Below are 12,729 nucleotides of genomic sequence, written 5' to 3'. Positions count from 1 at the left end.
GGCAGGCCAAGAATGCCATCCACGTTGGTTGGGGACAGAGAAAGTCCATGGCACAAGGTGCAGCTGAGCTGCTGTGGATATCCCCAGCACCGACCTGAGAAGATGCCCTGGTTACCGGGTGCTATGGCAGGTGGTGTGATAGAAGCCTCTACACAATAATGACAGGGTGGGAGGGAAAACCTACAACAGGGAAGCTGGCTGGTTACTGCTCAGCTGTGTTGATGCCCTATAAAAGGAGAATGAGAATCTGAGGGATTCTAACAGCTGTCACTGGCTATGTGTGAGGGCCTCTGCAGTGTCTCATGGAGAGGCCCTTGTTTCCTGTAGCGAAAGGGTAGATAGTGTGGAATGGTAGCTGAAGATATCATTGTGAGGGTTACAGACCTCCAGAGATGTTTGACATTCAGCCAAGGCAGGCCTGTTGTGGAAAATCAGGGCCCTGGTGGGGAAACATGAGATTCTGCAAACTAGGACAGCATTATCAGATGGGTGCCCTCCAGTACCCTCTGGGCATGCAGAGAAGGCTCGCCTTTTCCAGTAATAGTTCCCACTTCCTACGCTGGAAGATGCTGCAGAAGCCTCACCCTTATAATGCAGCGGGAATTCCACTCAGGAGCTTTGCAGGAACTAGCTGGCATGTCCACATAGGATCCTGGGGAACACTTCTGGGATTGGAATTTGAGGGCATTTGATCAAAGGGACAGAATTTCAAGCTAGATAGATAAAAATCCTTTGACTTGGGAACACTTTCTCAAGGCATGATGTATTAGTCCATTTCATGTTGCTGATAAAGACATACCCCAGAATGGGCAATTTACCAAAAGAGGTTTAATGGACTCACAGTTCCATGTGGCTAGGGAGGCCTCAGAATCACGGCAGAAGGTGAAAGCCATGTCTCACGTGGCAGCAGATAAGAGAAGAATGAGAACCAAGCGAAAGGGATTTCTCCTTTTAAAACCATCAGATCTCATGAGACTTATTCACTATCATGAGAACAGCATGGGAAAGACCTGCCCCCATGATTTAATTGCTTCCCTCCTGGTCCCTCCCACAACACGTGGAAATTCAAGACGAGATTTGGTTGGGGACACAGCCAACCGTATCACATGGGTTTTTCAAAGACCCCAGGGCATGGGGCAAACCCACTGCTGGGGTGATCCATGTAGACTGGGAAAAAATGATGCCGGTATCTCACAAGCTAGACCTGACTTAGTTGCCCCGGAACATGTAGAAGAGGGAATAATGAGGCTGGGGGAATTTGGCCTGTGGGATGGAGACATTACGTGAGGCCGGAAAGCCCACCGGAACCGTGCTTTATAAGAGGACCCAGGGGGCCCACCTTCCACCAGAGCCTCAGGAACGTGCTGGCAACAGGGACCTGCATCACTAAGAAGTTTCATTGTATTGTTCTCTGAAGGCTGAGGGTGATGGTAGGAAAAGATGTCCCAGAGTTGGGCTCATTAATATCCACGGAGAGGGTGTGGCCCTGAAGAGATAGAGAACAAGTGGTGGCAGTGACCTGCAAAAGCCAGAGGACACGGTTACCATGGCAACCCCAGAGGAGCAGCCGAGGGGGCTTGACCTGCCTGCAGTTGTGGGTAAGGTTAATAGAGGGTGGTGTTCCAGGGTCAGAACAGAAGGGCAGCCAGCAAGAGCACTGCTTGGTATCTATGATAAGAAAGCAAGAATTGAGGAGCAGGAGGCTGAGGGTGTTTGAACCAATACAAAATCATGATCCATTCTCAGTGCCTAGATCTCAGCCAAGCTTCAGATTCAGAACCCAGTGACGGAGGAGGTGTCCATATTCCTAGGAGGAAGGACCCTGCAACCCTGTGGCAAGTGTATGCTGGGTCAATTCCCTGAGCCATTGTGCAAAGGGACCTACAGCCATTTACTTTAGAGACTGTACCCTGGGAAAGGGAAATAGGGAGAACTTGGGGGAGTACTGACTTTGGGTGTGAGATGACATTGATGCCCAGAGGCCCACAGCATCATCATGACCCCCTCACATTGGGGATTACGGAGACCACGAAATAAACCTGGACACATCACGGCTCACCATGGGGTCACTGAGTCCACAGACCCAGCCCTGGTTATCTCCCCATTCTCCTAGTGCATAATTGACACTGATGCCCTGGCAGCTGGAGTCACCCCCACACTGCATCCCTAGTCTGTGGAGTAAGGGCTCTCATTGTGCTGAAGGCCAAAGGGAAACCTCTGAAACTGCCTCCATTCTGGCCAAATCAAAAATGATCGTATGTCCCAGGGTGAATCTTGTGGAAGGCACTGCAAGTGCTGTGGGGGTAGCACCACCATTAGAGAGCTGGAGGATGTGGGGTGGTGTTGGGGTTGCCTATTATCTCCATGTAATTTAGCAAATAAGCCTGATGGAGCCTAAGGAATGAATGGGATTACTAAGGAATGAATGGGATTACTCCAGATGTGACCAAGTAGGAGTCCTGATTGCAGCTAGCATGCTGGCTGGATATATCTGGTAGAGCAGATTAATAAGGCCTCAGGCACACAGTGTGCAGCTGTGGATGTGGTGAGTGCATTCCCTTCCATTCCAATTAGAAGTGGATATAGCCCGGGTGTGGTGGCTCATGCCTGTAATCCCAGCACTTTGGGAGGCAGAGGAGGGCGGATCACCTGAGGCTGGGAGTTCGAGACCAGCCTGACCAACATGGAGAAAACCTCTCTCTACTAAAAATACCAAATTAGCCGGGCGTGGTGGCACATGCCTCTAATCTCAGCTACTTGGGAGACTGAGGAAGGAGAATAACTTGAACCTGGGAGGCGGACATTGCGGTGAGCTGAGATCATGCCATCGCACTCCAGCCTGGGCAAAAAGAGTGAAACTCTGTCCAAAAACAAAACAAAAACAAAACCAAAACCAAAAACAAAACATTAGCCAGGCATGGTGGTGTGCACCTGTAATCCAGCCTGGGTGACAGAGTAAGACTCTGCCTCACACACACACACACAAAAGTGGATATAAAGTGATTCATGTGGGATCCACAACACTTTAATTCATAGTTTGCCTCAGGGCTATTATAATTCCCCAGGCCTCTATAGTACAGTCTTAAGAGATCTGGAGAACCTGGATATACTATAGAATATTAAATTCCTTTATTTCATTGACAACATCATGTTGACTGGGATGGATGAGTAAGAGGAGGAAGGTACACTAGAGGCTTTGGTAAAACATCTTCTCTCCAGAGGGTGAAGATAAATAAACCTTACAGAGATTCAGAAGTGGCCACTGCAGTGAAGTTTTACAGGTCTAGTGGTTAGGGGCATCCAGGGGTGTCCCTTCCAATGTGAAAGACAAACTGTTGCATCTTGCATCCTCATGCAAGGAAGGAAGCACACTGCCTGGTGAGCCTGTTTGAGTTCTGACATCACATTCTACATGTAGGTGTATTGCTTTGACCCACACTCTAGGTGACATAGGAGGATGCCAGCTTTGAGTGGAGCCTCCACAGGAAAGGACACTGCAGCAGATCCAGGCCATGGCGCAGTCACCATCCTTCAGACCCCCTGGTGCTGAAAGTGCCAGTGGTGGGGTAAGATTTGGGGTGGAGCTGAACCAAGCACCAGTAGGAGAGTCACAGTGGAGGGCCTGGGATTCTGGAGTAAGGCCATGTCATCCACAGCACAGAAATATGCCCCATCCAAAGCAGAGAAATATGTTGGAAGCAACTTTTGGCATGTTACTGTAGGCCCTGATAAGATAGAATGCTTGACCATGGGACACAAAACAACCATGTGATTCCAAGTGCCCCTACGAATTAGCATCTGTGTAACTCATGAAGTCATACATTGGACATGCCCAACAGCATCCATCATGAGATGGAAAAGTTTCTTGTGAGTTGAGCCTGAATCCCATGTTAACATCCCCAGAAAACACCCAAACCTGAAATGGCCCTGAACAACCAAGCAGAAGCACTGAAATTAGCCAGCCTTCCCCATGGGTCAGCCCAGGCCGGGTAGGATGGGTACATAAATGGAGCAAACACAGTGGCAGGGATGAGGCTACCTATGGGTCCAACAGTACTGACTCCCTCCTACCAAGGTAGATCCAGACACTGCCACCTCTAAATGTCCTACTCATCAGCATTTGAACCCAATGATCTTCCCTGGTAGGGCTCTATTTCTTTAGGTGACCAACCAGACCCTAAGTGAGGAGTTGACTACATTGCACTCCTTCCATCCTGGAAGGGCCAGAGGTTCATCTTCACAGGGATAGGCACCTATTCCATAGGTGGGTTTTCCTGTCCTGCTCTCAGACCCTCAGCCAGCACCACTCTCTGGGGGCTGTTGATATTCCTGATCCACAGGCTTGGCACTGCTCTCCGTGCAGTATCTTCGTGGGGGACCCACTTGACAGCGAAGGAGGTGCAGTGTGGCCATGCTGTGGGACCCACTGGTCCTATCACCATCTGCACCAACCAAGGGCTGCTGGCCATAAAGAATGTTGAAAAGAGCTTCTATAGGCACAGCTCAACGCCAGCTTGCAGGAAGCACTCTGCGGGTGGGAGGGTGCCATCTTTCAGGACATGGTGCATTTTAAAAATCAAAGACATCTCTACAGTTCTGTAATCTCAGTAGGAAGAACACGTGGGTCCAGATACCAAGGGGTGGAAGTGGATGTGGCTCCATATCCCATTCCTTCAACTCACCTGTCGTGGGATTTTGCACTTCTCTCCCAAAACCACACTCTGCAGGGTAGAAGGTCCTGGATTCTAAAGGAGGGTACCCTTAAAAGGGGACAAATGAGTGCCCATTGAACTACACATTACAGCTGCCACAGGGGAATTGGACAGTATGTGTCCAGAGACCAGCGGGTGAGAAGAGGAGTCCCCTCCTCTCCAGGCACAGGTAATAGATCCTGATCCCCAGGAGGAGGCATGGCTGCTGTCACACAATGAGGGTAGGAGGAGTTCGTGTGGAACCCAGGGATCCCCTTGGGGGCCTCCTGGTTCCCCTTGTCCCATTGTAAGTGTGAGGAGAATCGTCCAGCCACCCAACCTGAGAGGGTTTGATTTCCAAGAGCCCAGACCCCTCAGGAAGGAAGATTTCAGTCGCATTTCCAGGTAATTTCCCAAGGCCTCGTTCCTGTGCTCTGACATCCTCAGCAGCATTGGTGCAGAGGCCCTACTTCTCTCAGGCTGTTCCCAGCGGGTGATGGGTCACACCAGGGACACCAAAGCAGGACCATTCCTGGGACACAGAGGACTCCTTTGATGGCCAATAGTGGCTGGAGGACTCTTCCACGGCCTTGATCAACTCTCCTTAGATTACCTGTGTTCTAGAATGCATCCAAAACACCTTCTCTCCTTCTGCCCATCACTTGGGGGCACACTTGCATCTCAGTCTATTGCCTTTTCCAGAGTTGTAATGTAAAAATGAGATCATTTCTGCCTTGATTGTAATTGTAATCTGTAATTAAATATATGTGCAGATTTACTCCTCCGGGCGGGCCCCTCGCTCCTTCCCGCAGAGGCTTTTTCCCTCCCGACCCCGCACTCACCTGCCCAGGTCTGGATCAGGGCCACGGCTCCCGAGAACAGCAGGAGGAGGGTTCGGGACTCCATGACCCGCAACCTTGGCGTCTGGGGAGAATCTGAGTCCCGGTGGGCCGGCGAGGACTTTAGAACCAGGAACCGCGGCGACACTGATTGGCTGATCTAGGAACCCAACACCCAATGGAAGTGAGAACTGAGGCCGCATCATGAGTATCCAGGTAAAAGGACCTGACACAGGTTGGGAAAGGTGGAAGAGAGAGAGCGGAGCTCGGGAAACCCCAAAGCTGAGCCGGCCCATCCCAGGCACCGCCCTCGGGGCCTGAAGCCCAGAGAGCCAAGCTCCGGGCCCTGGGACTTGGCTCTTACCCCCTTCTTTTATATCAAACGCTCTGTCTCAATGTCTCCCCGAATCTTGGCCCCGGAGCTGTCTGAGAAACCAGAGAAAAACCCTCAGCATGGGCTCAGTCCCTCTCCCTTCACTTTTCATCCCAGAATCCCCCTCCCTGAACTGGACTTCCTGCCTCCCATTCCTTGCCTGTCCCCCTGGACTCTTCTAGAAGAGAGCTCACCCAGGCAGCTTGATGCCACAGAGTGAGCTTCTCCTGGGAATGGAGGGAAAGACGGGGGTTGTTTTTTCTTTAAATCTGAAAAAGTTGTGCACCTGGGGATTTATGTGGTCTTTTGTCTTTGCAGGTATTTGTTTAGAAACAAAAGAAAGGCAGTTTTTCCATGACTCAGATTAATCTGGAGCAAATCCCTGGAACACTGATCAGCAGTCCCCTTTGACCCCTGCAGCAGTCTTGGGCACTGTGACTTTTTCTCTCAGGCCTTGTTCTCTGACTCATACTCAGTGTGTGTGGGGGTCTGATTCCAGCTCTTCTGAGTCCCTCGGTCTCCACTCAGGTCAGGACCAGAAGTCACTGTTCCTCCCTCAGATACTGGAACTTTCCAAGGAATAGGAGATTATCCCAGGTGCCTGTGTCCAGGCTGGTGTCTGGGTTCTGTGCTCCCTTCCCCACCTCAGGTGTCCTGTCCATTCTCAGGATGGTCACGTGAGTGCTGCTGGAGTGTCCCATGAGGAGTGCAAAGTGCCTGAATTTTCTGATTCTACATTTTTATTTGCCCCAGAGAAAGAATCCACAGTCCACCCTAGGTCCCTCCTAGAAACAAGGGTGTCTGCCTTACAGAAAGATATAAGCGCAGAAGCCTCTGTCTCTATGGAGATGAGGTGTGCCGTCCTCCCAGCACGTGGACATGCGGATGTGCTCACCAACTGGGAAGTTCTCCAAAACTCACTGTCTAGAGGTGTCTATGGAAGTTTCATTGTGTAGGCAAGATTGGTGAAATCATTGGCCATTGATGACTGAGCTCAACTTCCAGCCCCCTTTTCTTCCCCAGAGGATGGGGATGGCAGTGAAAGTTCCAATCCTCTAATCACAGCTGGTGTTTCTGGCAAGCAGCCTCCATCCTGAAACTATCTAGGAGCCCCTCACCCCATAGTCATCTCATTGCCATATTAAAATCATGCTTATCACTGAGGGACTGCAAGCGTTTTAGGACCTGCCTGTCAGGGACTAGGGGCAAAGACCAAATATATTTATTGGATCACAGATCACTTCCTGGTCTTTAACCACATTATTTCTTCTTATAATTTCTATTTATTTATTTATTATTTTATTTTAGAGACAATGTCTTGCTCTGTTGCCCAGGGTAGAATGCAGTGGCACAATCATAGCTCACTGTAACCTCAAATTCTTGGACTCAAGTGATCCTTCCGCCTCAAGTCTCCTGAGCAGCTGGCACTATAGGTGCACACCACCATGGCTGACTAATTTTTAAATATTTTGTAGAAATGCAGTCTCATTATGTGCCCCAGGCTGTTCTGCAACTGTTGGCCTCAAAAGCAATCTTCCCACCATGGCCTCTCAAAGTGGTGAAATTATAAATGTGAGCCCCTTTGCTTGGCCAACCACAGATCTCCTATAGCAGAAGAATCATAGCAGTAAAAAGATACTGGCCCATTACCAGAGTCCTGTTTAGTCATTATCAATTCGCCCATTGCAGTCCAAAAATAGCAATGGTCTCAGCAACATACGGCTTCAACCTTTCAGACATCTGGTAAAAATGAGATAAAAGACAATATCATCATTTGTTTATACCTCTTTTGAGGAGATCATGTTATATTGGATTTTCCTCATTACATACCCCATTTATTCATTCATTTCACCTCAGCTACTATTCTTCCTCTTCTGCATTTATACCAAATATTTCTCATTTTGGAAGGGACATTAGGTTTTCCTGCTGTGCTGGCCTATGCAGGGAGCTATACCATGCTAGTAACAGCGAGTGTCTCCCATCAGTCCATTCCAGTTCATAGAGGTTAGGGTTATTCAGGCAGAGAACTGGTTGGCTATCTGGCTTCCAGGCAATACAGCTGCATTCAATGTTAGCTCCAACTTTGCCAGATGCAGTGAAGGCACATCTACTCCAGGCCCTTAGGCAGTCTTGCATAATGGTTTTTAAATATGTTAACGGTTTCTTGCTCAGGAATAATTCCTGTGCCTGGACTTTTATTTGCATCCCTAGTCCTGAGACCACTGCATCAGGTATGAGAAAAGCAAGTTGAGGTAAAGTATAGTCATAATTCTAGTGTCTTCTGGCCTTGGGAAGGATTGTTTTTATTTATTTATTTATTTATTTATTTATTTATTTATTATTTTTTAGGGAAGAATTGTATGTAGAATCACACCAGCACCTTTCCCTGATCCAGCAGGGAAAAAGAGGACACTCTCTAGTGGGGACATTCCTTTGTCCACACTCATGTCAAGAGCGAGCACACTCATGAAGGTGTATAGGCCCGCCCTTCATGCTTATGTCTCCCCGCTCCTGATTTATACACTCAATGTTTCAAATGACTATTTTAATTCTCTCTGAAACTCTTCTTCTGAGGAACAAATTTCTCTGACCATTGTTGGACATTCTGGGCAAGTGTGTTTCCTAGTGTAATGTGGCTCAGTGGTCCACATGGTGGCAATACCTCCCATTCACGTTTTTTTTTTTTTTTTTTGGTCTCTGTCTCTGTCTCTTTTCTTGTTAAAGAGAATACTTCTTTTTTTTTCTTCTTTTGAGACACAGTCTTGCTCTGTTGCCCTGGGTGCAGTATAGTGGCGCCATCTCGGCTCACTGCAGCCTCTGCCTCCCAGGTTCAAGCCATTGTCCTGCCTCAGTTTCCTGAGTAGCTGGAATTACAGGCGTGCACCACCATGCCTGGCTAATTGATGTAGTTTTAGTTGAGACAGGGTTTCGCCATGTTGGCCAGGCTGGTCTCAAACTCCTGATCTCAAGTGATCTACCCACCTTGGCCTGCCAAAGTGCTGGGATTACAGGTGTGAGCCACTGTGCCCAGTCTTGTTAAAAAGAACAGTTTTACTGAGTATTTTGTGCTTATTAGAGGTGGGGGATGCAAGGGGAGTATGTCTTGATTCAGCCCATCTCTGCATTGCTACAGCCTCAGTGTCTACTTATTTCGTAGACCCCGGTGATCTTCACAAGCAAATGTAAATTTTTTTGAGATGTGGTCTTGATATGTTTCCCAGGCTAGACTCAAATATTTCTCAGGCTAAACCCAAATGCCTGTACTCAAGATATCCTTCTGCCTCAGACACTCTCATAGCTGGGACTACAGGTGCACCTGGCAAGCACTTAGAGATAAATGCTTGTTGATTTCAATCACCTTCCAAACCTGGAAGGGAGTTATTCTGATGGGTATTGAACAGCACTGAGGGGATGGTACTAAACCATTCATGAGAAACCACCCCATGATTGAGTCACCTCCCACCAGACCCCAACTCCAACACTGGGAATTACATCTCGACATGAGATTTGGGTGGGGACAACATCCAATCTATATCAGGCATCAACATGTCTTACGTTAATGCACCCCTCAAATTACCATAGTGATTTCCATAGGACTGTGTCTCATATGGGCATTCTTTTCATAGGCCAGTTTTCCACTGCTTTCTTAATTAATTATATGGCCAGGCCATCAGTCACTGCCCATAAGTCAGTAAAACTAAAACATAGGAGCTTTTATCATTGTTCAATTCTTCCATCACTGCTAAGAAAACACCCTGCAATTCAGCCCACAAGAGCTGTTCTGTTTTTATCTTCTTTGATCAAAGGGGTAGACTTCCAAACAGGGTGTTGTCCATTCATCTTGCAAATGCTGTACACAAACCAACCAGCTCTTTATGGGTCAGGTGACTGATACTGCAGTTCAAATCCCAGGACAGAATTCCATCTTGCTTGGGGAAGGTCAGTGTTTCATTCAATTTACACCTTCAATGAATTGAATGAAGCCTGTCCACATTATAGAGGTCAATCTACTTTACTCAAAGTATAGCAATTTATATGTTAATCATATCCAAGAAACATCCTAAAAAGATCATCCAGAATAATGCTTGACCACGTATCTTGGCACCAGGTCCAGGTGACAAATAAAATTATTTATGACATTCTTCAATACAATAATATTCTAAGGAAATTAGCCTTTGTAAAGGAAGGAATAAACAACTGTTTCTGAAAATGTATAACCAATCATCAACAAACTCTCCCTATAGATTGTTTCCTAAGTTCGCTTTATAGTTGTGAGTGAGAGTAACATGTATTTGTTCAAAACCAGAGAAGGAGAGAAAATTGAAAAAGCAGAAAGCAAAAATGAAAAACACAAAACACAACACATAAGAAGAATAATAAAGATGACAGCAGTTATTTCATTGGAAACAATGCAAATGAGGGACAGATGACCAACATCGCTAAAGTTCTGAAAGACAACTGCTGTCAAACTAGATTCTATTTCCAGAAAAAAAACCTTTTAAAAACATATATATATGTATAATTTTAATTGACATATAATAATACATTCATGAGGTACTGTGTGATGTACTGATATATGTATACCATGTGTAATGATTGCATCAAGCTACTTAACAGACTCTAAAGATATCTATAAAAAAAGGGATTTTAGACTTATAGGGAGTGAAAAAATACATAACCAGCAGACACGAACTGTAATAAGTGTTTCAGTCCTTCAGGCAAAAAGAAAATTATACCAAAAGCAAATATGTAATGAAGAGCACCAGAAATGGTAAGCACATGGGTAGATACATAAGATTTTTTCATAATTTTAAAATCTTATTAAAAGACAACTGTAATGCCTTCACCAAAAATGGTAGAGAACTCCAACAACACATTCCCCAACTAAAGCAACTATTAACCTGGAAAAAAACTATCAAAATTAAGTTTTTCTGTACTCTGGAGTCTATGAATTTTTTTTTTTTTTTTACAACAACCAAAGTAGTGCTTAATGAAAAAGGAGCTCTAGATTTTGGTAGGAGAGCATGTGCCACTATTCCTTAGCCACCTACTCACTCCCACCCCCACACCCTCAGCTATGAGGCAGCCATGGGGACGGTGTCCCACATTCCTGGTGTAGTTTCCTGATGCCAGAAAAGGCAAAATGAACTTTCTTTTCAAAGAATTGTGTTTGTGTCCTTTGACATGTATGATAGCCCCCAAAAAGATCAGCTTAGAGGCTGGTCTTTGCTTCACTCCTCTTGGAACTTTATTAAGATTGGAGAGGTCTCCATAGCAATGTTTGTCAAAAGCATTTAAAGGCAAATACTAGTCACAGATGCCTGGGGCATGGAATGATGGATGGGTTAACAGCAGACAGACTGAAAAGCCTAGGGAGGTAGAGGCTGGAGATGGAGATACATAAGGCAATATGGCTTTCAAAATATCCCGCATATACTGAGGAAATCAGAATGTCACATACATGGCCAGGGCTAAACACTGGATATTTAGCCCTGGATGCCCACACTCTTTAAAAAGACCTGAGATGACCTTAGGCTTTTACCTCTGGGTGATCTTTAGCCTCCAAGTAAGCAGCCAGTGAAGGTTAAGGTGGACGTCTAAACTGCCTGGTTAAGTGTTGAAGAAGTGTCCCAACTCAGAGTCCATCTGCAAAACCTGGGAGGGCATTAATTATTTATTTTTTTGGCTCCAGCTGTTTAAGGAAACCTCTGTCAAATCACTAGCTGACCATGAAGCTAACAGAATAGATTTTAGTGACCACACATGACATAGAACAGCTTAACAATAGTTTAGAAAAGTCACTAAGAAACAACTCCATCCTCAAGTGGCAACAAGAAACTCTGGGGAGTGGAAAGAATATGGTATCCAGAGTTACTAGATTGTTGTATTCAAAGTGTTCAGTTTTCAGCGAAAATTCTTGAGGTATTTAGAAGTTTAAGAAAGTGGCCCATTTGCAGAAAAAAATACATCAGCAGAACCTGTCCCTAAGGAAGCCAAGTCATTGGACTTACTAGACCAAGACTTTAAACCAATAGTTTAAATATGCTCAAATAGATAAAAAAGACCGTGGACTCTCTCTCTATATATGTAAATATATATATATATGTATATATATACACATATATGTGTATGTGTGTGTATATATATATGTATATATATACACATATATGTGTATGTGTGTGTATATATATATGTATATATATACACATATATGTGTATGTGTGTGTATATATATATGTATATATGTAAAGGAACCAGAAGAACAATATCTCACCAAATAAAGACTCATTAAAAATATAAGGAAAAAAAAAAATCTGAATTCCTGCTCTGCCTCTGCCTCTGCCTCTGCCTCTCCCCTCTCCCCTCTCCCCTCTCCCCTCTCCCCTCTCCCTCTCGGTCTCCCTCTCCCTCTCTTTCCATGGTCTCCCTCTGATGCCGAGCCGAAGCTGGACTGTACTGCTGCCATCTCGGCTCACTGCAACCTCCCTGCCTGATTCTCCTGCCTCAGCCGGCCGAGTGCCTGCGATTGCAGGCGCGCGCCACCACGCCTGACTGGTTTTCGTACTTTTTTGGTGGAGACGGGGTTTCGCTGTGTTGGCCAGGCTGGTCTCCAGCTCCTAACCGCGAGTGATCCGCCAGCCTTGGCCTCCCGAGGTGCCGGGATTGCAGACGGAGTCTGGTTCACTCAGTGCTCAATGGTGCCCAGGCTGGAGTGCAGTGGTGTGATCTCAGCTCGCTACAACCTCCATCTCCCAGCCGCCTGCCTTGGCCTCCCAAAGTGCCGAGATTGCAGCCTCTGCCCAGCCACCACCCCGTCTGGGAAGTG

General features: G+C 46.4%; 1 long non-coding RNA gene and 1 pseudogene across 1 annotated transcript, besides 2 other annotated features; one reads left to right on the top strand and one right to left on the bottom strand.

The window, feature by feature from the left end:
* Window positions 1-3,003: 3,003 nt before the first annotated feature.
* HCP5 (HLA complex P5) lies at window positions 3,004-5,633 on the bottom strand. Its single transcript, NR_040662.1, has 2 exons — window positions 5,534-5,633; window positions 3,004-5,442 (listed from the first exon to the last, which is right to left on the bottom strand). It is a non-coding gene; the product is annotated as an HLA complex P5 (long non-coding RNA).
* Window positions 5,139-6,338: an enhancer, noted in NCBI's record as "BRD4-independent group 4 enhancer chr6:31430252-31431451 (GRCh37/hg19 assembly coordinates)". NCBI's record gives its function as "activates an origin of replication core promoter dependent on BRD2, P300/CBP, MED14 and CDK7 cofactors, and independent of BRD4, by STARR-seq in HCT116 cells {active_cell/tissue: HCT116}" and the evidence as "EXISTENCE:reporter gene assay evidence [ECO:0000049][PMID:35650434]".
* Window positions 5,567-5,861: an enhancer, noted in NCBI's record as "tiled region #13996; HepG2 Activating DNase unmatched - State 4:PromP". NCBI's record gives its function as "activates a minimal TATA promoter and a strong SV40 promoter by Sharpr-MPRA in HepG2 cells {active_cell/tissue: HepG2}" and the evidence as "EXISTENCE:reporter gene assay evidence [ECO:0000049][PMID:27701403]".
* HLA-X (major histocompatibility complex, class I, X (pseudogene)) lies at window positions 6,323-6,967 on the top strand (annotated as a pseudogene).

Source organism: Homo sapiens, chromosome 6, assembly GCF_000001405.40.
Source record: "Homo sapiens chromosome 6, GRCh38.p14 Primary Assembly".
Taxonomy (NCBI): domain Eukaryota; kingdom Metazoa; phylum Chordata; class Mammalia; order Primates; family Hominidae; genus Homo; species Homo sapiens.
The sequence above is the reverse complement of the archived record's forward strand: the minus strand, read 5'-3'. Positions and strand labels throughout refer to the sequence as shown.